At 41.6% G+C, this 21,772-nt stretch overlaps 1 long non-coding RNA gene across 1 annotated transcript in view; it reads right to left on the bottom strand.

The window, feature by feature from the left end:
• Positions 1–4,621: 4,621 nt before the first annotated feature.
• The window catches only part of LOC105369543 (uncharacterized), a 19,316-nt gene continuing 2,165 nt past the window's right edge, over positions 4,622–21,772 (bottom strand). The window contains exons 2-3 of the long non-coding RNA XR_948124.4: positions 5,979–6,124; positions 4,622–5,888 (exon numbers count right to left, since the gene is read on the bottom strand). This is a non-coding gene — a long non-coding RNA (uncharacterized LOC105369543). The remainder of the gene's footprint in view (positions 5,889–5,978; positions 6,125–21,772) is intronic.

The following is a 21,772-nucleotide window of genomic DNA, read 5'->3' as shown; positions in this document are numbered from 1 at the left end:
GTGGTTCTTTTTACTGTAGAAAACATTCAGTATTAAGACATTTTGTTCACATAATTCATTAAAGTGTTGTTCTAGAGCTTCCTTTCTGGGTATTTTGGTACATCTTTATAGAATTATAGAATCAGGTGGATGAACTAAAGTATTTGTTAGTGTCTTTTCCACCCCTCATTCTATAATTTTACTCAAAGCATGAAACTTCTTCATTGCTATTTTCCATTTATTTATTTATATAGAGACAGAGTCTCACTCTGTTGCCCAAGCTGGAGTGTACTGGTGTGATCACAGCTCACTGCAACCTCTGCCTCTCCCGGGTTCAAGCAATTCATGTGGCTCAGCCTCCCGAGTAACTGGGATTACAGGCATGCACCATCACGCCCAGCTAATTTTTGTATTTTTAGTACAGACAGCGTTTCACTATATTGGCCAGGCTGGTCTTAAACTCCTGGCCTCAAGTGATCCACCCACCTTGGCTTCTCAAAGTGCTGGGATTAGAGGTGTGAGCTACCGCACCCACCCTCATTGCTATTTTCTAATAATATATGCATGCTGGGTGATTTTAGATGATATTTAGAGAGACAAGATAGTTGTAACAATTGCCCTTATAAGGAATTTAGAAATTTACACAGCACTTTCATATATGTTTTCACATTTGAGTACCAAGCAATCCAATGAAGTAAGCAAGGCAAATGTCACAATTACCATGTTCATAGATGTGGAAACATAGTCTCTGCACTTTTAACACACTTGCTGTTCCCAAAATGCTTTCAATTCATCATGCATGATGTAACAGAAATTATGTAACTGATTATGCTTGCTGGGTCAAATGCTTTCTTTTTTCTCAGGGGGGATAATGGTTTGCTCTACTTCATCCACACTTTGTCACCTGGTGATTTGTATAATCAACACCCACATTTTGAAATAGTACTGAAAAGAAAATGTACTTTGGTAACAGGAAGACCTGGGTTTAAAGAGTGGCACTAATCATTACTAGCTTTGTGGCTACGGGTGAATTACTTCATCTCTCATATCTAAATGCCTCCATTTTAAAAATTGGAATACTTTTTGCCAGGTTGCAAAGTTGTAAAGATTACATTATGTAATGCCTATTATTAGAATGCTTAGCATGCCAGCACATAACAGGTGCTCAGCCAATGCCACACTTCATCTATAAATCCTACTTACTTCTAAAGGCTGAGGGCAGTTCCATACAATGCCCTCCCTAACTTCTCTCCTTTTTTCCAGTTTCACTCTATCCAACACCACTCAGAGCCTACTTAGTTGTTCTCAAATTGTTTTATATTCTGGTATTTTATGTTCATTCAACAAATATGTAGTGAATGCAAACTATTTTTTCAGACCCTGTACTAAACTCTGCATATAAAATAGTAAAGAAAACAGATGTGTTTCTGCCCTCGAGGAACTTTTTTTACTGTTTTCAAGCGGGAAGCAGATCACATATCAGTAACACACAGACACGTGTACAGTAATAAGGGGTGGTAAATGCTGTGAATGCAAAGACCAGGTTGGAACATGGAAGACTATGTTTGACTGGGGTTGTGAAAGACATCCTCCTTGGTGTAACATTTAAGCACAGATGTGAAGGATCAGAAAGAGCCAATCATGTAAAGAAGAAAAAATAACATGTCATAGGGAGAGAACAGGTGTAAACAACTTGAAAAGCCAGTGTGGCTGGAACGCAATGAGCAAAATGTCATGGCGTGAATTGAGGTTGGGAGGTAGGCATGAACCAGACCACACAGAGCCTTTGACATAGGTTGGACCCTCCCAGAAGCAAGTCCTGAGACAAGTTTGAGCAGCCACAGTTTATTTAGAAGATATGGCAGTGGGACCGAGAAGAAAGAAAATGAAGCCAATAAAAGGTGTGTCATTGAACAGGCTGCACCTGCGTCTCAATCCCTCTGAGAAACTCCAAAAAGTAGTATAAGTAGAACACGCACCCAGGAGGCCGGGAAGCTGGGCTGTTTTATTTTTCAATGTATAATTTCATTACTTTTAAAATTGCAGTTGTACGTATTTATGGAGTACAATTTGATGTGTCAATGCATATCTATGTTGTAAAATGATCAAATCAGGGTATCTAGCATATCCATCTCCTTATGCATGTATTATTTCTTTGTGATAAGGGCATTCAAAAGCCCCCCTTCTAGCTATTTTGTAATATACAATACCCTGCTGTTCAAACCAACTTCACCCCACTGTGGTTCCTCAAAAAATTAAATATACAACTACCATGTGATCCAGCAATCCCACTGATGGGTACATATTCAAAGGAAAGGAAAACAGTATATTGAAGACATATCTGTATGTCCATGTTTATTTCAGTGCTATTTACAAAAGCCAAGATATAGAATCAACCTAAGTATCCAACAGCAAATGAATAAAGAAAATGTGGTATATATACACAATGAAATACTATTCACCCATTAAAAAAAATGCTGTCATTTGTGACACCATGGATGGACATGAGCTCATTATTAACCAAATCCCTTCACTGTCAGGCATTAACTCTCTGTTACTTACAGCTGGCCCTGTGCAGGATTAGCATACTCGTGGCCAGAAAAACAAGCCCAAGAGCAGAAAGTTACAGGTGTACACATAAAACAGCCTTCAAACATAGAGATAAACGCTAAGGAGGCCAGGCACGGTGGCTCACGCCTGTAATCCCGGCACTTTGGGAGGCCGAGGTGGGCGGCTCACCTGAAGTCAGGAGTTTGAGACCAGCCTGACCAACATATAGTGAAACCCCGTCTCTACTAAAAATACAAAAATTAACTGGGCATGGTGGCACATGCCTGTAGTCCCAGCTAGTTGGGAAGCTGAGGCAGGAGAATCGCTTGAACCCATGAGGTGGAGGTTGCAGTGAGCTGAGATCGCACCACTGCACTCCAGCCTGGGCCACAGAGCAAGATTCCATCTCTCAAAAAAAAAAAAAAAAATGCTAAGGGGATGGGATGGGGAATGAAAGAAGCCTTATTGAACACAGTATGCTAATTATAATAGAGAGCCATTGAAGGATTTTAACAGTAGTATGATACAACATAATTCAGGTTGTTAGTTTTGTTTGCCCAGGTATTTCATAAGATCCTTGAGAACAAAGGACATACTTCACATTTCTTTAGCACTAACCACAGCGATGACACAGTGCAGTTTACAGATGAGGTACTGAATAATTGTGTTGACTGATTGTCCAGGAGAAAAAGCATATGATGAATCCAAGTTACCTGGACCAAAAAAAGATCAAATTAAAACTTTTACCTATAAAAATATTTAGCGTCACTTCCTCTTTTTTAATTAGAAATTGAGATGGGATCTCGTTATGTTGTCTAAGCTGGTCTCAAACTCTTGGGCTCAAATGATCCTCCCACCTGTGCCTCCCAAATTGCTGGGACTACAGGGGCAAGCCACCACTCTCAGCCTATCATCACTTTCTACTAACTCTCTTAAAGTAGCCAGATGGTGCATGGACCACCTTGCAGGTGAGTTAGCTATTATCTGAACTATTGGTTTTAGAAAGAATTCAACCATTGGATGAGAGAACAAAGCCCGTTTCACTTATTCTGTTTTTTATTTAAGTCTTTTTTTTTTTTTTGAGATGACTCTTGCTCTGTCACCTAGGCTGGAGTGCAGTGGCGTGATCTTGGCTCACTGCGACCTCCACCTCCTGGGTTCAAGCGATTCTCATGCCTCAGCCTCCTGAGTAGCTGGGAGTACAGGCATGTGCCACCACACCAGGCTAATTTTTGTATTTTTAGTAGAGACAGCGTTTCACCATGTTGGCCAGACTGTCTCGAACTCCTGACCTCAAGTGATCCACCTGCCTCCACCTCCCAAAGTGCTGGGATTACAGGCATGAGCCACTGTGCCTGGCCAAAATTTTATTTTTTATTTTAATTTTTTAGAGATGGGGGCTCTCACTATGTTGCCCAGGCTGGTTTTGAACTCCTGGGCTCAAGTGACCCTCCCATCTCAGCCTCCCAAAGTGCTGGGATTACAGGCGTGAGCCACCATGCCTGGCCCAAGCCTCTCTTACTCTCAGAAGAACAGAGTAATATTTTGAACAAAAGCACTGACTTTGGAGTCCCACCCAGAGCAGACAGGGCTTTGATCCTTAGCAATTATGGGGCCTTGAGCAAGTGACTCAAGCTCATTAATCCTCAGTTTCTTCATCTGTAACACGGACATAGTAACAATGGCATTTACTTCAAAAGGTTGGTGTAAAGGTTAAATAAAATAATACTCTCTGCCCAGTATAGAATTAGCATTCATTACATATTATTATCATTACTAATATTTTTACTTCACTTAGAGTTATTCTTTATTTTATATTATTTCATTTTTTTTCTTTTTTTGACATTGCCTTTTTCCACAAGCTCTAACACTTTAGGTTATTCTGATAGGTTTTCCGGAATACAGATGTAGATTTACTATTAAGTTTAGGCCAGGACAGCTATGGTGGCTCACACCTGTAATCCCAGCACTTTGCAAGGCCAAGGCAGGAGGATCACTTGAGCCCAGGAGTTTGGGACTAGCCTGGGCAACATAGTGAGAACCTGTCTCTATTAACAACAAAAAAAGTTTTGGCTAGGCACATGGTCTGGAGGACCCTCTTGTCTGCCTGCACTTGTTTCTTTAAGCCTATTCTGCAGCAGGGAAAGATCTTCATTTCCAATAGACAATTCTTTCCAGAAGTAGACTTTCCCCCAGGAAATGGTGCTTACTAAACCTGTTTATGGAATGAACAGAAGTGTGTGAGATGCCACCGTGTGGCACCCACACCCTCGCCTTCCCACCATCTGCCTTGCTCTTGTCACTGATGCTCTCTCTGAGCCACCTGCTCCCTGGAGAATCCAGACCCAGGCGTGCAGTATCTTTATAGAGCATCTTTATAGGCTGCCTGCCGCAAAAGGCCTGGCCAGCTGGCACTGGACTGAACTGAGCTGCACTTGAGTATCCGTCTTTTCTCATTTGCATTTTTTCCTAATTTTGTTGAGATATGTTCTCTTTGTAGAAATTTGGAAAATGTATTAAAGTTTTAAAAAGCAGGATAATAAAGCTCTTTAAAAACCACGCTAGGCCGGGTGTGGTGGCTCACGCCTGTAATCCCAGCACTTTGGGAGGCCGAGGCGGGCCGATCACAAGGTCAGGAGACCGAAAAATAGAAAAAAATTAGCCGGGTGTGGAGGCGGGCGCCTGTAGTCCCAGCTACTTGGGAGGCTGAGGCCGGAGAATGGCGTGAACCCGGGAGGAGGAGCTTGCAGTGAGCTGAGATCGCGCCACTGCACTCCAGCCCGGGCGACTGAGCAAGACTCCTTCTCAAAAAGAAAAAGTAAAAAACAAACTCTAGGATATGGTTCTATATTTGTCCTACATGTGTTTAGTTGAATTTTAAAAAAATAACATTAGAATCAAGTGCTTTCATATTGTGTCTGAACTAAAACTCTTTACAATGTATTCTCCTTTTTTTCTTGCTCTCACCTATGTGCAAACAGAAATTGGGGGGTACTATTGTCTGCCTTCCGAGTGTAGATATTTGTCCACCTTTGTACTTCCATCTCCTGGACACTCAAAAGAGCTGTCTCCCTCAACAGAGGGAGCCAACAGGCTGACAAGAACAGCAATTCCCAGATCAAGGTCAAAATGACACCATCGCTGTGGGCAGAAGGGCAGGTACAAACCCAGAGCTGGGCAAAGACCAACAGTCAGTTGGTGCCTATGTAAGGTGAGGAGTTGTCAATTCGTCCGTCGCCTAAAGAATTGGCACGCTGGAGGATTTGATGCTGTTGCCTTCTCATGGCAATTACGAATTCAGCTTGCAGAGGCAGCTTCAATTCCCTGGCTCACGGGGAGTCTTCCAGCCACAGCCTTGTCTAGTTGGGAACAGACATTCATGCAAATTGAGAGCAGCGAGTGACTTTTTGAGCGAATCTAAATAAAGCTGCAGGGGATGTTCATCTTACCTCACTTGATTAGAATGCATTTCAGGCTACTAGGTCAGGAACTTCTAGGAAAGCTGCGGATGGGCTGCTGCTATTCCACTGAGGGGTTCAAATCAGCTGAGTCTAGGAGTCAGAAAGTGGAAATCGGGGCTTCTCAGCTCCACATCCTGAAGCGAAATAAATACATTTATTTATTAAATAATAAAATTATATATTCTACATTGCTGAGAAATGATGGAGCAGAAGCCAGTGGATGATGTACTTGGGATGCCAAGGAAAGACTAGCTGGCATTTGCAGGAGGGTGCTGGCATGTGCCTCCCGATGCCATTTTCAACTCAGGATTTACAGTGGAAACTGGGATATGTTCTTGGGGCTGCATTCAAACAGGAGAAAGCTCGCTGGAAATTGCCCTGGCCAGGGGACAGATTCACAGAGGAGATGAGGTTGGGACAGATTTCTAGCTGTCATTCTGCCTTATTCCTGCTGACAACAACTCCAGGAAGATGTATCTATCTTCGATTTCTAGTGTCTTCCAAACGCTCAAGAAGCTCTTCCTTAGCATAAATCCGAGTTTATCCTATTGTCATGTTACCTCACCCTGTGTTTATTTCCTCTGGACTATAACATTTCTTGGCACAAAAAAGTTGGTGTAAGATAGTGTAGTAAGCATGCTGCCGCTGGAATCAGACAAACTTGAACTTCAATCTCAGATTCTCCACTTGTTAGCCATGTGACTTCGCCAACTTTACCTGGCCACCCTGCACTTCAGTTTCTCAGTAAGTAAAATGGGCATAACAATAACGCATACCTCTTAGAGTTGTTGTGAGAATTAAATGAGATAATATATGTAATGCTCCACAATTTAGAGGCTAGTAAATATCAGTTATAAATAAAATGTTTTTGAGAAATACACTGGGGAATCAATCAATCAATTAATAAAATAAAATGTTAATAGCAAACATGTATATGGCATTCGCAATGAACCTGGCACTGTAATCCAATTTTTAATGCCAGAGTATGAATTAGATTCTTTAGCCCCCGCCCCCCGCCCCCCCCCACTTTTTTTTAGGCAAGCCTATAATCTTTATATGGTTTAGGGTTTGTTTTTGTGTTTTTAAGCCACTTCTTGATTTTGGAAAGTAGAACTTAAAGGAATCTAAGGTTCTTGTCAATTTACTCTAAAAACCAAAAATCACCCTCACTTGGTCTGTTTCAGAAAAATGATGAAATCTTTTCATCCCTTTTCCCTCTGGTCCAGAAGATAAAGACCAAAGCATTGGCTTATTAGGGATGAGATTTTAAAAAGCAGCCACTTCCTTACTCCTAGCTTCCACTTCAGTTACACACAAAAACAGGGCCAAGGGTGTGTCTCCTCTCTTCTGCATAAAAACAGGAGGCATCTTCTCCCTCTGAGATTTGATTCCTCTCTCAAGGCCTTCAAGGCCCTTTGGGATCGCTGACAATGCAGTTACTTATTTATTTGGCCTATATTTACACATCATAAATGCCAGTTGCAGAGGAACCATGATGTTATTTGAAGTCAGCTTTGTCCTTTTATGAACAAACTCTTCCCTGATTTTGACTTGTCTGTCCTTCACTTCTATTCACTGAGCCTTTTCTTGCCCCCTCCCCTGCTCTCAACAATACTGAACTCCTTGTAATCCCCTCAAAGGAGGCCATATATTCTACCTCCTTCTTTGCTCCAGGAAGAGAAGAATTCATTATCCTTGCCCCCATGCCCATATTCAGACCATAGTTGTGGCCACAGGACTCAGCCAGCTCTTCTTTTGTGGAGTTCATACAAGTCACTTTGTCACTCTTTCTGCACCATCCTCAGAGTTCTCTACCAGCTTCCCTATAATCTCTTACTCAGTGACATGAAAAATGGCTGTCCTCCCTTCTCCCACCATCACCATGGGGAATGCCAGTTATCCATGCCAATAATGCTTCCCATATTCTCGCCTCACCTTTTCTTTTTCTTTTCTTTTTATTCCAGAGAACTGCCAAACATCCAATAACTTTCAATCCAGTCCAGCAAAACATACGTGAGTTCAGTAAGGAATTGCTGACTTACTGACCTGGATGTGAACCTGAAATTTCTCCCTCTGTTTTGTTCCTTGGAATGCTATAATGTATCAGTGTTGCTTTTATTGATTTAAAAAAAAAACTAGCAGTATTATTTCCTTCTTGAAAAATAACTCAAATTTGTAGAGAAATGTATAAACGTTAACAATTATGTATTCCTGATGTCCTGAACTCCAGTGCCCTCCACCTGCAATGCACCTCAGTCACTTAGCAAGAACTCTAAAACATAGACTTGCTTATCCTTCACCATGGCTCAAAATTAAAGATGCCAACCCCCAAATATCCTCTCTTACCATCATCAACTTTCCTTCCTCCTCACTCAATTGCTTGCCAGCCCTAAAGGCATCTCTATTTTTATTTTCACCATCAGTCACACTATGATCCTCTATTCTCCTTTTCTATCACATCTATCAGGCTTGGCATATTATTAACCATTTCACAAACATATTCACTACCACCCTAGGATGGCTCCTGTATTAGTCTTTTATCATACTGCTATAAAGAACTGCCTGAGACTGCATAATTTATAAAGGAAAGAGGTTTAATTGACTCACAGTTCAGCATGGCTGAGGAGGCCTCAGGAAACTTACAATAATGGCAGCAGCAAGGCACCTTCTTCACAAGGCAGCAGGAAGGAGAATGAACGCAGGAGGAACTACCAAACACTTATAAAACCATCGGATCTCCTGAGAACTCACTATCGTGACAACAGCATGGGGGAAACCACCCCCATGATTCAATTACCTCCACTTGGGCTCTCCCTTGACATGTGGAGATTATGGGGATTACAATCCAAGATAAGACTTTGTGTGGGGACACAGCCAAACCATATCAGCTCCATACTTTGTATTTCTCCTGTTCCACCTTGCCAAGTCTGCCAAGTCTGCAGCCTTCAAGAATGGTTGCAAACTGTTATTGGAGAAAATTGTGAAACTGTTTTAACTGGATCCACCCTGAATCTGTTCTTTGTTGGGTTTACTGATGCTCACTGCTTTCCTTCACCTTTAATCAATCCATCACCTCACTTCCCAGAGACTTTTCCATCTCTCTCTTATTCTGCACAAGGCCCTGATTCTGTTCAGCTCCCCACTCAAAGCAGATGACTTTATTTCCTGTTTTAATGAGACATATTCTTTCACATTTGATAACTTCAAATTATTTTCTTTCCACTTCAGCATCTCTGTGTATCTTTCCTCTTTTTCCTCCTCCTCCCTTAAATCTGAGGTTAATCCCTCGGGCATTGCTCTTGATTCAAGTTCCTTCTTCCTCCTTGGAACTGTGCTCCTCCATCAGTTACCTCGCTTCTGTCACGTCTTCCAACTTTCCTTCTGAGTTAATGTCTCAGCTTTTGTCTATATAACCTTCTCTAAGGAAACCCTTACTTATTCCAAAGTCTCATCATTTTCCAATCTCTCTTCCATTCCCACTATCAGAGGCTTTGAAATTATAGTTAAACCAATCACATCCACTAGGTTTGCACCAACACTTCTTACTTAACATCTTCCATTATGTAATTGTCCCTCACTCCCTCCAACTACAGTCCTCCTAAGGTCATCAGTGATTTCCTAGTTACTAAGTCTCCTAGCCAATTATTCCCCCAATCAATTCTCTGCTGCAGAACTCCCTGCTGACATGGAACATTCTCTCTCTTTACTCCCTAATGCAGCACTGTTTTGATCTCCTACTGTGATTTAGTCTGTTCTCACATTGCTGAGAAAGACATACCCAAGACTGGGAAACGTACAAAAAAAAAAGAAGTTTAATGGACTTACAGTTCCATGTGGCTGGGGAGGCCTCACAATCATGGCAGAAGGCAAGGAGGAGAAAGTCACGTCTTACACAGATGGCAGCAGGCAAAGAGAGAGCTTGTGCAGGGAAACTCCCCCTTATAAAACCATCAGATCTTGTAAGACTTATTCAGTATCACGAGAACAGCAGGGGAAAGACCCACTCTCATGATTCAATTACCTCTCACTGGGTCCCTCCCACAACACGTGGGAATTCAAGATGAGATTTGGGTGGGGACACAGCCAAACCATATCATCCTGTCACTTTGATCATTTTTTTTTTCTGTCTCTGTTACTGGCTCTACGGCTTCCTCTCCCTCCTAAATTCAAGTATTCTCAAACTTTTTTTTTTTTAAGACAGGGTGTCTCTCTGTCACTGAGGCTGAAGTGCAATGGTGTGTGTAATCATGGCTCACTGCAACCTCAGCCTCCCAGGCTCAAGCAATGCCCCAACCTTAGCCTCCTAGTAGTTGGGACTATAGGTGAGTGCCACCACACCCAGCTATTTTTTTTTTTACTTTTTGTAGAGATGGGGTCTCACTATGTTGCCCAGGCTGGTCTCAACCTCCTGGGCTCAAGTGATCCACCTGCCTCAGCCTCCCAAAGTGCTGGGATTACAGGTATGAGCTACTGCGCCTGGCTCTCAGACTTTCTATCTCTTTATATTCTCTTTTAAATATCATCCATTTCCATTACTTTGATTATCACTGTGTATGGATGACTCTCAAATCTGAATTGCCAGCCCTTATTTTTTCTGAGGACCTGACTTAAATTTTCAGACAATCTATCAGTATCTGAAACCCAAAATATGCCAAACAAGATCTGTCACTTTTTCCCCCAAATCACCAATCCTGCTATCTTCTCTGTAGCTTCCATATGCTAAATGGCATAACTTTTTATACATAATGTGGTATCAGTAGTATAAAAAATTTTCCCAATCTACCACAACTAGAGTGACATTTCCTCTTTTGCCTCATATCTTATCAGTTGCCAAATCCAATGTATTGCACCCTCACATTTTCTTTAGGATCAGATGTCTCCATTTCACACTGCCTTACACCAGGTTCTCCTTCCCTCTTACTATGGCTACTGCAAACATTTGTCCTAATTTTCTTCATGCCATGTTTCCTATTCTGCCAGATTAATTTTTCCTAACTCATTTCAGATCACCTTACTCACAGCTCCCAGTTATCTATCAAACTAAGTCCAAACTCCTTAATAAGCATTAAGACTACTTACTTATCTTTCCAGCATTAATCACTATTATTTCTCTAAATGTTTCCAATGTTCAGATAAAGTATATCATCTACTTTCACCAGCTCAGACCTGAAACTTTTCTGCTTCTATGCTTTTGTTGGTGTTTTTTTTTTTTCCTGCCAAGAATGTCATGCTTTTACATCTTGTAGAAATCCTATCCTTGCTTCAGGACCTGTTTTATTTTACTTTTTTAATTTTAATTTTTTTAGACAAGGTCTCATTCTGTCACCCAGGCTGGAGTGCAGTGGCCTGATCTCAGCTCGCTGCAGCCTTGAAATTCTGGGCTAAAACAACCCTCACACCCCAGCCACCCAAGTAGCTGGGACCACAGGCATGTGCCACTATGCCTGGATAACTTTTGTATTTTTTGTCCATATGGTGTTTTGCCATGTTCCCCAGGCTGGTCTCAAATTCCTGAGTTCAAGCAATCTGCCCACCTTGGTCACTGTGCCCAACCAGGGCCTATTTAAAATACACCTTCTTCATGTATCTTTTACTGTTTGGGGGTATAACTTGTCCTCTGATCCCATATATCTTACCTTGATCTGCTCTGTATCATTACTATTTGTGAATGTGCCACCTTGTCACAACTGGTGTGTTGCCCTCACTGTAGATTATGAATGTCTTTATACCATTTTCCAGGTATTTTGCTTCATTCTGCAGGCCCTTCAGATAAAAATTTTCCTAATTTCCCTGGGAAATTCAAAACCCTCTTACCCAGAGAAAAAATGTATTTATGTTACTCATCCCCACCCTCTTATACAGGTTTCTCATTCACTTAGGAGGTGACTGAGTTCCTATTGCCACTCCTTAAAATGTGGAGGACATAGAAAAAGTGGGGCCATCTTTACCACAGTAGCAAGGGGGAGTGTGTTTTCAAATCTTCATGTTGGGATTCTGAATGCAATTTTTTGCTCTAGAGGGCAGACCACAGCCTAGTGATAGGGACAGACCCCAAAGCATCCAGTTACAAGCTGTTTGACAAAAATAGGAGTGTATGCTGTGGGAGGTATGGGAGGTGTCACCTTCAGGGAGTGGGAGCAGGGAAGAATAGGTCTGATAGCAGGATGAAATAATTCATCTCAGTCAGGCTTTTTTCAGCATGCCTCATTAATCATTCTGAAATACAAAGTCCGGCACTATGTCTTACCCAAACATTAGGTATAGTCATGTTGTCTTGCAAGTACTTACTGAAATGCAATAACTCTTAGATTATGTTTCTGTTTCAGATAGCCTAGTTAAAGAGGCCCTTCTCTTTCCTCTTTTCATCCTGGGGTTGGTGTACAAGGCCTTTCCTGGCCATACGGCTGCTGGGAAATCTGGTTTCATGAGAGTGGTGACTGAGAGAAATCAAAGAATAGAAAATGAAGAATGGGTGGCTCTGCCACATATAAGTTAAATGACCAAGTCATTGAACTTCTCTTGAGTTTAATTTCCTAAAAAAATATATAAATAAAGGTAGCAATAGTGCCAACTCTTTATTTATACAGAAGGGAAATAAACTAATATTTATTAAGTTTATGCTAAGGGTCAGGCATTGTGCCAGGTGACATACATTTAACTTATTTAATCCTCATAAATAACCACAAAATAGGTAGTATTAATATTCTCATTTTATGTCTGAAGAAACTGAGGCTCAGAGGAATTAAATAACTTTCCCCAAGTAACAAGCAGAGTGTTCAGGATAAATCTGTGTGGCCCAAAGCTATCACTCTTTTCCATTGCTCTATTCAGCTACTCCAAATCACAATCTTACTTGAAAATGGCAGTGTCACTTGGTGAAAAATGCCCCAAATTAAGAATCATGAGAGTACCAACTGCATCAAGAAGGTGAGTCTCTCAAAACAGCCAATAACTCCCAATCTACCATTCCTTCTCTTTGGGAAATTCTACTTATCCTTTCCAGGTAATTCTCAAATGTTACCTCTTTTGAAGTTTTTACAACGGTACTCTCCCCAGGCCCCAAAGCTATGACTTTATCTTCCAGGACACCTGTATACAATAGCTCTTACCACACTATTTCACAGTTATTGTTAAAGAAAATTAAAGCCAGAGACTAAGACAGTACCTGGCATACAGTAGGCACTCCGTAAAAGTTTTCTGAATGAATGAATGAAGTGTAATAGTACACAAGTCACTTAATCTCTCTCTAGATATCAGTTTTGCCACCTTTAAAATAGATTAATAGGCCGGGCGCAGTGGCTCACGCCTGTAATCCCAGCACTTTGGGAGGCCGAGGCGGGCGGATCACGAGGTCAGGAGATCGAGACCATCCCGGCTAAAAACGGTGAAACCCCGTCTCTACTAAAAATACAAAAAATTAGCTGGGCGTAGTGGCGGGTGCCTGTAGTCCCAGCTACTTGGGAGGCTGAGGCAGGAGAATGGCGTGAACCCAGGAGGCAGAGCTTGCAGTGAGCCGAGATCCCGCCACTGCACTCCAGCCTGGGCGACAGAGCGAGACTCCGTCTCAAAAAAAAAAAAAAAAAAAATAGATTAATAGTCTTTTATATCTCACAAGTATAACATGAAAATTAAATAAAATAATACATTGTGTGATATGGTTTGGCTGTGTCCTCACCCAAATCTCATCTTGAATTGTAACTCCTACAGTTCCCATGTATCATGGGAGGAACCCAGTAGGAGGTGATTGAATTATGAGGGCATCCTCCAGACCCCAGAATGTTCCTGCACTGTTCTTGTGATATGAATGAGTCTCACAAGACCTGATGGCTTTAAAAATGGGAGTTTGCCTGCGCAAGTTCTCTCTTTGACTGCTGCCATCCATGTAAGACGTGACTTGCTCTGCCTTGCCTTCCACCATGATTGTGAAGCCTCCCCAGCCATGTGGAACTGTAAGTCTAATAAACCTCTTTCCTTAGTAAATTGCCCAGTCTCAGGTATGTCTTTATCAGCAGTGTGAAAATGGACTAATATGGTAAATTGGTACCAGTAGAGTGAGATGTTGCTGAAAAAATACTTGAAAACGTGGAAGCAACTTTGGAACTGGGTAACAGGCAGAGGTTGGAACAGTTTGGAGGGCTCAGAAGAAGACAGGAAAATGTGGCAAAGTTTGAAACTCTCTAGAGACTTGTTGAATGGCTTTGACCAAAATGCTGATAATGTTATGGATAACGAAATCCAGGATGGAGATGAGGAACTTGTTGGGAACTGGAGCAAAGGTGACTCTTGTTACGTTTTTGCAAAGAGACTGGAGGCATTTTGCCTCTGCCTTAGAGATCTGTGGAACTTTGAACTTGAGAGAGATGATTTAGGATATGTGGTAGAAGAAATTTCTAATCAGCAAAGCATTCAAGATTTGACTTGGATGCTGTTAAAGGAATTCAGTTTTGGAAGGAAAGCAGAGCATAAAAGTTTGAAAAATTTGCAGCCTGACAATATGATAGAAAAGGAAATGCCATTTTCTGAGGAGAAATCCAAGCTGGCTGCAGAAATTTGCACAAGTAGTGAGAAGCAGAGTATTATTTCCCAAGACAATGGGAAAAATGTCTCCAGGGCATGTCAGAGGTCTCCATGGCAGCCCCTCCCATCAAAGGGCCTGAGGCCTAGGAGGAAAAAGTGGTTTCATGGGCTAGGTCCAGGGTCCCATGCTGTGTGCAACCTAGGGACTTGGTGTCCTGTGTTCCAGCTGCTCTAGCTGTGGCTGAAAGGGGCTGATGTAGAGCTCAGGCTGTGGCTTCATGGGGTGCCAGCCCCAAGCCTTGGCAGCTTCCACATGGTGTTGAGCCTGCAAGTACACAGAAGTCAAGAACTGGGGTTTGGGAACCTCCACCTAGATTTCAGAGGATATATGGAAATGCCTGGATGTCCAGAAAGAAGTTTGTTGGAGGGGTGGGGCTCTCATGGAGAACCTCTGCTAGGGCAGTGCAGAAGGGAAATGTGGGGTCAGAGCTCCCACACAGAGTCCCTACTAGGGGACCATCCACCTGAGATGGTCCCCTACCACAGATGGATGCGTGAGCCACTGTGCCCAGCCCCAAATCACTTCCAATAGTAGAAATGGAAATAAATGTGAGCTTGGAAAAGATCAATATAAACAAGAAAGATAATTATTTACCCAAGTTTTGGTATATCTGAGTGATGGCAGTTGTAGTGGTGGTGGGTTAAGTCATGGAATAAATGCTTAGAAAGGGAAAATTGTAAGGAGTGCTTCCTACAATCATGCAGAGGAAATGGGACACACCTGTCCTGGAAGACAAGGCCACCATCCTCCAGACCCCAGAATGGTAGATCCACTGACAGCTTGCACTGTGCACCTGCAGAAGCCACAGACACAAAGCCAGCCCATGAAAGCAGCTGGGAGGGAGGCTGTACCCTGCAAAGGCACAGGGACAGAGCTGCCCAAAACCATGGGTACCTACATCTTGCATCAGCGTGACCAGGATGTAAGACATGGAGTCAAAGGAGGTCATTTTGAAACTTTAAGATTTGACTGCCCTGCTGGATTTATGACTTGCATAGGGCCTGTAGCCCTTTGTATTGGCCAGTTTCTCCCATTTGGAATGGCTGTATTTACCCAATGCCTCTACCCTCATTGTATCTAGGAAGTAACTAACTTGCTTTTGATTTTACAGGCTCATAGGCAGAAGGGACTTGCCTTGTCTCAAATGAGACTTTGGACTATGGACTTTTCAGCTAATGCTGAAATGAGTTAAGAGTTTGGGGGACTGTTGGGAAGGCATGATTGGTTTTGAAATGTGAGGACATGAGGTTTGGGAGAGGCCAGGGGGCAGAATGATATGGTTTTCTGTGTCCCCACCCAAATCTCTTATTGAATTGTAACTCCCACAATTCCCATGTGTTGTGGGAGGAACCCAGTTGGATGTGATTGAATTATTGGGGTGGGTATTTCCTGTGCTGATCTTGTGATAGTGAATGAGCCTCACGAGATTTGATGGCTTTAAAATTGGAGTTTCCCTGCACAAGCTCTCTGGCTGCTGCCATACACGTAAGACATGACTTGCTCCTCCTTGCCTTCTGCCATGATTGTGAGACCTCCCCAGCCATGTGGAACTGTAAGTCTAGTAAACCTCCTTCTTTTGTAAATTGCCCAGCCTTACGTATGTCTTTATCAGCAGCATGAAAACAGACTAATACATAGTGTGTCTTAAAAATAAAACTTTTATATTAGATGAGGCTAAACAGTTGCTTACAGAAAACAGAAAAACAACTAAGAGGTTTTCATTCATGTTAATCCATGTGAGATCTCCAAATTTTAAGCACTAAAGAAAAAGAAAGAAAGAACACAAAACATATTGGATTTTCCCATGTCTATTTTCTTAGATTTTATACTTTCCCACCATACTAGAAGTTTTATGAGTAAAGGAATTATTCCTACTTTTTCTCACACATAAATACACACAGCACACTCATTTGAGAACTGCACAACATACGACAAGTCGTTAACTTCCTGGCTGATGTGCACATGGAAGTGTCTTTCAATGATGAAGATCTTAAAGAAAGATATTAAGATCTTAAGGCTTTTGGAGACAAAAAATCGGGTTTCAATTATGGTTCTGCCCATGCACTTGAGTAACTAAGTCATTTAACTTCTCTTGTATTTATTCCCTCAAAAAAAAAAAAAAGGAGAATTCTAATAGTGCCTACTTTTTAAAATTGTTAGAATGATTAAATAAATTTATCAATTTATCAATAATATATGCATATCATTGTTCTGGGGCCAATGCATGCCCTTAAATATAATGATAATGATGAAAATGATAACAGATTAATGATAGATTATGAAAGCTGATTATTTCCCATTATGCTGAAGTTAACAGCTGAACCTATCTCTGTAAGGATTTTCAAAAATTATCTAAATAGGAACTGAACACTTCTTGGTTTATAGGACTTGACAAAATCCAAGACACACTCGTATTATCTCCCTTGTGCTTCCAGCAACTCTGGGAGGCAGACAATTAGAGAGAGAATTTGTTCAGAGAGATTAGGTGAAAAGGTCAATACTATACTATCTCAGAGCAGCACTAAGCATGGGACACAGGCCTCCTGTCTACCACCTGGCCCTCATTTTGTGGTTTCATTTTCTTCTTCAATAATATTGCTTATAAACATTGAGTCAATCAGGGCTCAATGTTGCTGTTGCCCAAAACTTTGGAACAACAACAGGACTTTGATCAGCACCAAAGATAATGACTGTGCTTATTTCTACAAGACATCTTGATATGATTTGTTTTGGTGTCCCCACCCAAATCTCATCTCAAATTGTAATCCCCACATGTCAAGGGAGGGACCTAGTAGGAGGTGATTTTATCACGGGGGCAGTTTCCTCCACCCTGTTCTCGTGATAGTGAGTGAGTTCTCACACAATCTGATGGTTTAAAAGTGTGTGGTGGTTCCCCACCCCACTTCCTGCCACAATGTAAGACGTGCCTTGCTTCCTCTTTGCCTTCTGCCATAATTGTAAGTTTCCTGAGGCCTCTCCAGCCATGCAGAACTGTGAGTCAATTAGACTTCTTTTCTTTATAAATCATCCAGTTTCAGCCAGTTCTTTATAGCAGTGTGAAAAATTAAACAATACACATCTTTTCTTTCTGCCTATCCTAAGAGCTTCAGCCATATGCATGCCAGAAATGCATTAAAAAATTATGCCATGCTAATAACAATACTTGAAATATATTATAACTTTGCTTCTGGGTAGCATAAAGTACTTTATCACTGATAATATTTTCTTTATTTCCATTTACACGTTTGGGTGATCAAAACTAAACATAAATAGTGCTCTGGCTGAGGCAGAACCATGGACTTTCTAGAGATTGGTCAAGAGCAGATGGCATTTCTTTTGTGCACAGGGTGTTATGGAGGTGGGCAGGGCTCTTCTGGATGTCAGGAAAGCGTTGGCTTCCACAATCAGTCAGGTGACATCCAATTCATTTCAACAAACATTTTTTGGCCCCATCTTACCTGCCAGGTTCTGTGCCATTTGCAAATCCAGGAAGGAATTGCATAATCTAATCATCATGTCACTGCTTCCTATTCTAATCCCAAACTTCCCTTGCCTGGTGACAACATCACACAGCTGGCTGGCAGGATGAGGGAATGATTTGGAAGAGCCTGATATCTCTCAGTCCCATATGTGTTCTTTGGCCACAGTTTAAAATGAACATATTTCTTCCCTTTCCTTGTCCCATGGGGTGTGCACTATTTTTCAAAATCCACTTCGAATAGCAAAAGCAGGTTACTTGACTTTCCTAGGTTGGGCTCTGATTTTTGCATCTTGACTGAGTTCAGGTACATGTTGATCTTGAAAAGCTTTTCTTGACATTTTTCTATGCTTTAAGAAGGTGCCCTCAGTTATTCAGACTGTCTCCCTTGTCCTGGGTTCTCCTGTACCTCCCTACCACCTACACTCAATGGAAAATGTGGCTTCCTACTTTACCAAGATCATTGTGTGTCTCTTAAGGTCCCACACCTTATCTTTACTTACAATGTCACTTCCACTGCTCCTGTCTCTAATTCCTCCCCAGTAGTCTCAGTGAATGTGTTTCATTCCACAAGAAAACTAACATCTCCCTGAATAGCTCCCATTCAATTCTTTCTTCAGCAGAGTCATGTCATTCCCTCCACCTCAAGATCCCTGAATATCTAGGCTCTGTACTCCATCCTCTTCCTCAATCTCTGAGCATAATTAGCTAAAGTCCCCTCAAAGGAGAAGTGTCCTTAAGTCTAAAGACCCTCTTTTCCCTGGCCTGCCATGGCATTGCACCTTGCTGGGTCTCTTCCTATTTCTCTGACTCTTGGTTTTCTGTTCCCCTATTGATTCTGGCCTCAGCTCTTCACTGTTTCCACACTATTCTCACTCCCTTGTGTATTCATTCACTTGTGTCCTCTGTGAAGAGGACCTAATATCTGCTTGGCACTGATCTAGGTGCAGGACGGCAGCAGTAGACAGAACAAACAAGGCTGCTATCTATCACCAAGGAGAACCAGCCTGATGGGAGGAACAGAAAATAAGCAAGTACATATATTAAAAATAAGATAATTTTGGATAGTGAGAGAAGATATGAAGAACAAGAAACAGGGTGATGAGATAGAGAGTAGCTTCAGGTGAGGAAGGTAGCAGGAAACAAGCTTAGAGTGACCAGGGAATGTCACTCTAGGGTGAAGTCATTTGAGGCAAGACCAAAATGACAAGAAACCAGCCATAGAATGAAGAATGTTCCAGGAAGAGGGGACATCAAATGCTAAGGCTATAATAATAATGATGGGAAATATTAATAGTGGGGAAGAGTTTGATAACTATGAGGTACATTTCTTTAAAATTAAGTGTAATTGGAACATGGTGGACAAGACAGAGAGTGGTAGAAATGAGTGTGGAGAGATAGCCAGGGCACAAGGCCAACATTAGGCCATGGTGACAAGTCTAGATTTTATTTCAGTGTAGTGAGATGCCATGGAAGGGCTTTAAGCAAGAGAAGTTCCCATCTTTTAGAATACAAAGACTGTTCTGTCTACTCTTTGGAGAATAGAGCATATGGTTTCACCCATTAACTGTGAAGGGAGAATGATTATTAAATTGGGAGGCCAAGTCAACAACAATGAGAAAGGATTGAAGCCAAAATGGCAGAAAAGAGGAAGGGAGAGCTTAATTTAAATGATTTTAAAACTCTCAGAACAAGGCCAAGAGTACTTCAGGGAACTTAAGGTACTTGCAAAAGTGACTGAGAGTGACAGCCAAAAATCAAGGGAAACAGCAGGAGAATGAAAAGACTAAATGCTCCTATTTTCAATACAGGAGAGGGAAGAAGTGGTATATGAAAAATAGAGGTGAAATCCTGACAGTGACTATTTACAATGGGGTTGATAAACAATTAGAAAACAACATTATGAATATTAGCAATTCACATGAATAGACATAAGAAAAATTTTGTAAAGCTGAGCCAATTCCTGCTGTGGTAGTTGATAAAATTATCAGACTGAAAATATTTCAGTCTGTCTGTGTATTTCAGTCTTGGTAAGGCTTTCAATAAAGTCATAGAACCTCAAAGACGATAGGAACTTTAACATAATCTATTCCAAATTTCTAACCTTTACAGGTTTTCCTTCCTAAACATCCCAGCAGTTGTTTGGATAACAACTGCTTGGATGTAACGAAAGGTAATTTGTCCTACTTTGGAAAGGTTTGAAATGTATTGCTGAAAATCTGTTTTTGTGTTAGTGTAAGCCATTGATCCTATTTCTTTCCTGTGGATGACTAGATGTCTAATTCCTCTCACAGATTCCTTTTATTCTAAATTTTCAGAATGTCTCATGCTGTACATATAAAAAATAGGGAGCTATGTTTGGGTTTTATGATTGAGCAACTGTTCTAAAGAATTTTAATTAGGCCAGGTGCAGTGGCTCATGCCTGTAATCCCAGTGCTTTGGGAGGCCAAGGCGGGCAGATCACCTGAGGTCAGGAGTTTGAGATCAGCCTGGCCAACACGGTGAAACCCCCTCTCTACTAAAAATTCAAAAATTAGCTGGGTGTGGTAGTGGGCACCTGTAATCCCAGCTACTTGGGAGGCTGAGGCGGAATGATTGCTTGAACCTGGGAGGTGGAGGTTTCAGCGAGCCGAGGTCACACTACTGCACTCCAGCGTGGGCAACAAGAGTGAAACTCCGTCTCAAAAAACAAACAAACAAACAAAAATGTTAATTAGTAGCTCATTGTCAAGGTAGAATGAGGTCTTTAGAAGCAGGCCATAGGACTATCTCTTCTTTTTTTCTATTGGTTCTTTTTTTAAATATCCATGTGTGGATCATGTGATTGTCAAGCCTAGAGATGAAACAAGGGTAAAGAAGAGAGATATATTGGGTGATTGAATCTGAATTCAATAAAAGTATTAACACAGTGTGATAACTGGTTGAAACTAATAAATTTTAACAGCAATAAGTGCAAAGTTTCATAATAAAATTTCCAAAATTGCCTGTACAAGACACAATGACTCTGCAACAAGTCAAGTGAAGAATACTCAGGGATTTTAATTGAACATAAGCTGATTATGACTAAGATGTGGCTGTAAATGTATTTAACTAGTTATATCCTTCAAAGCAAATGTAGCCATAATTCCACTGGATTTATGCTGGTCAGACCACACAGGGACCATCAGTTCCTGTTCTGGACGTCACTTGGAGAATCATGCTGAGAAACTGAAAGTCCTTCTGAAAAAGCAGCCAGGGTGGTACAGGATTGGAAACTACTAGAAAATACATTGGAAGAAACTAAGGAAGAGTAGCCACAAACAAAAATGTCTTAGGGCGGATGTGAGGAAGCATAGCTCTTTTAAAGAGAAAACAGCATTAGGGCCACTTAATGGAGTTTGGAGGGGGAGGAGGAGTGTACGGAATTCAACTGAACATAAAGAACTTCCTTAAGCATCAGAAGAGGTGAACTTGTGATGTAGAAAGTTCTCATCACTAAAAAGATCAAGGCCAGGCGCGGTGGCTCATGCCTGTAATCCCAGCACTTTGGGAGGCCGAGGCGGGTGGATCTCCTGAGGTTGTGAGTTTGAGACCATCCTGACCAACATGGAGAAACCCCATCTCTACTAAAAATACAAAATTAGCCGGGTGTAGCAGCGTATGCCTGTAATCCCAGCTACTCAGGAGGCTGAGACAGGAGAATCACTTGAACCCGGGGGACGGAGGTTGCGGTGAGCCAAGATCGC

The sequence above is a fragment of the Homo sapiens genome, chromosome 11 (genome assembly GCF_000001405.40).
Source record: "Homo sapiens chromosome 11, GRCh38.p14 Primary Assembly".
NCBI classification, from domain to species: Eukaryota; Metazoa; Chordata; class Mammalia; order Primates; family Hominidae; genus Homo; species Homo sapiens.
The sequence above is the reverse complement of the archived record's forward strand: the minus strand, read 5'-3'. Positions and strand labels throughout refer to the sequence as shown.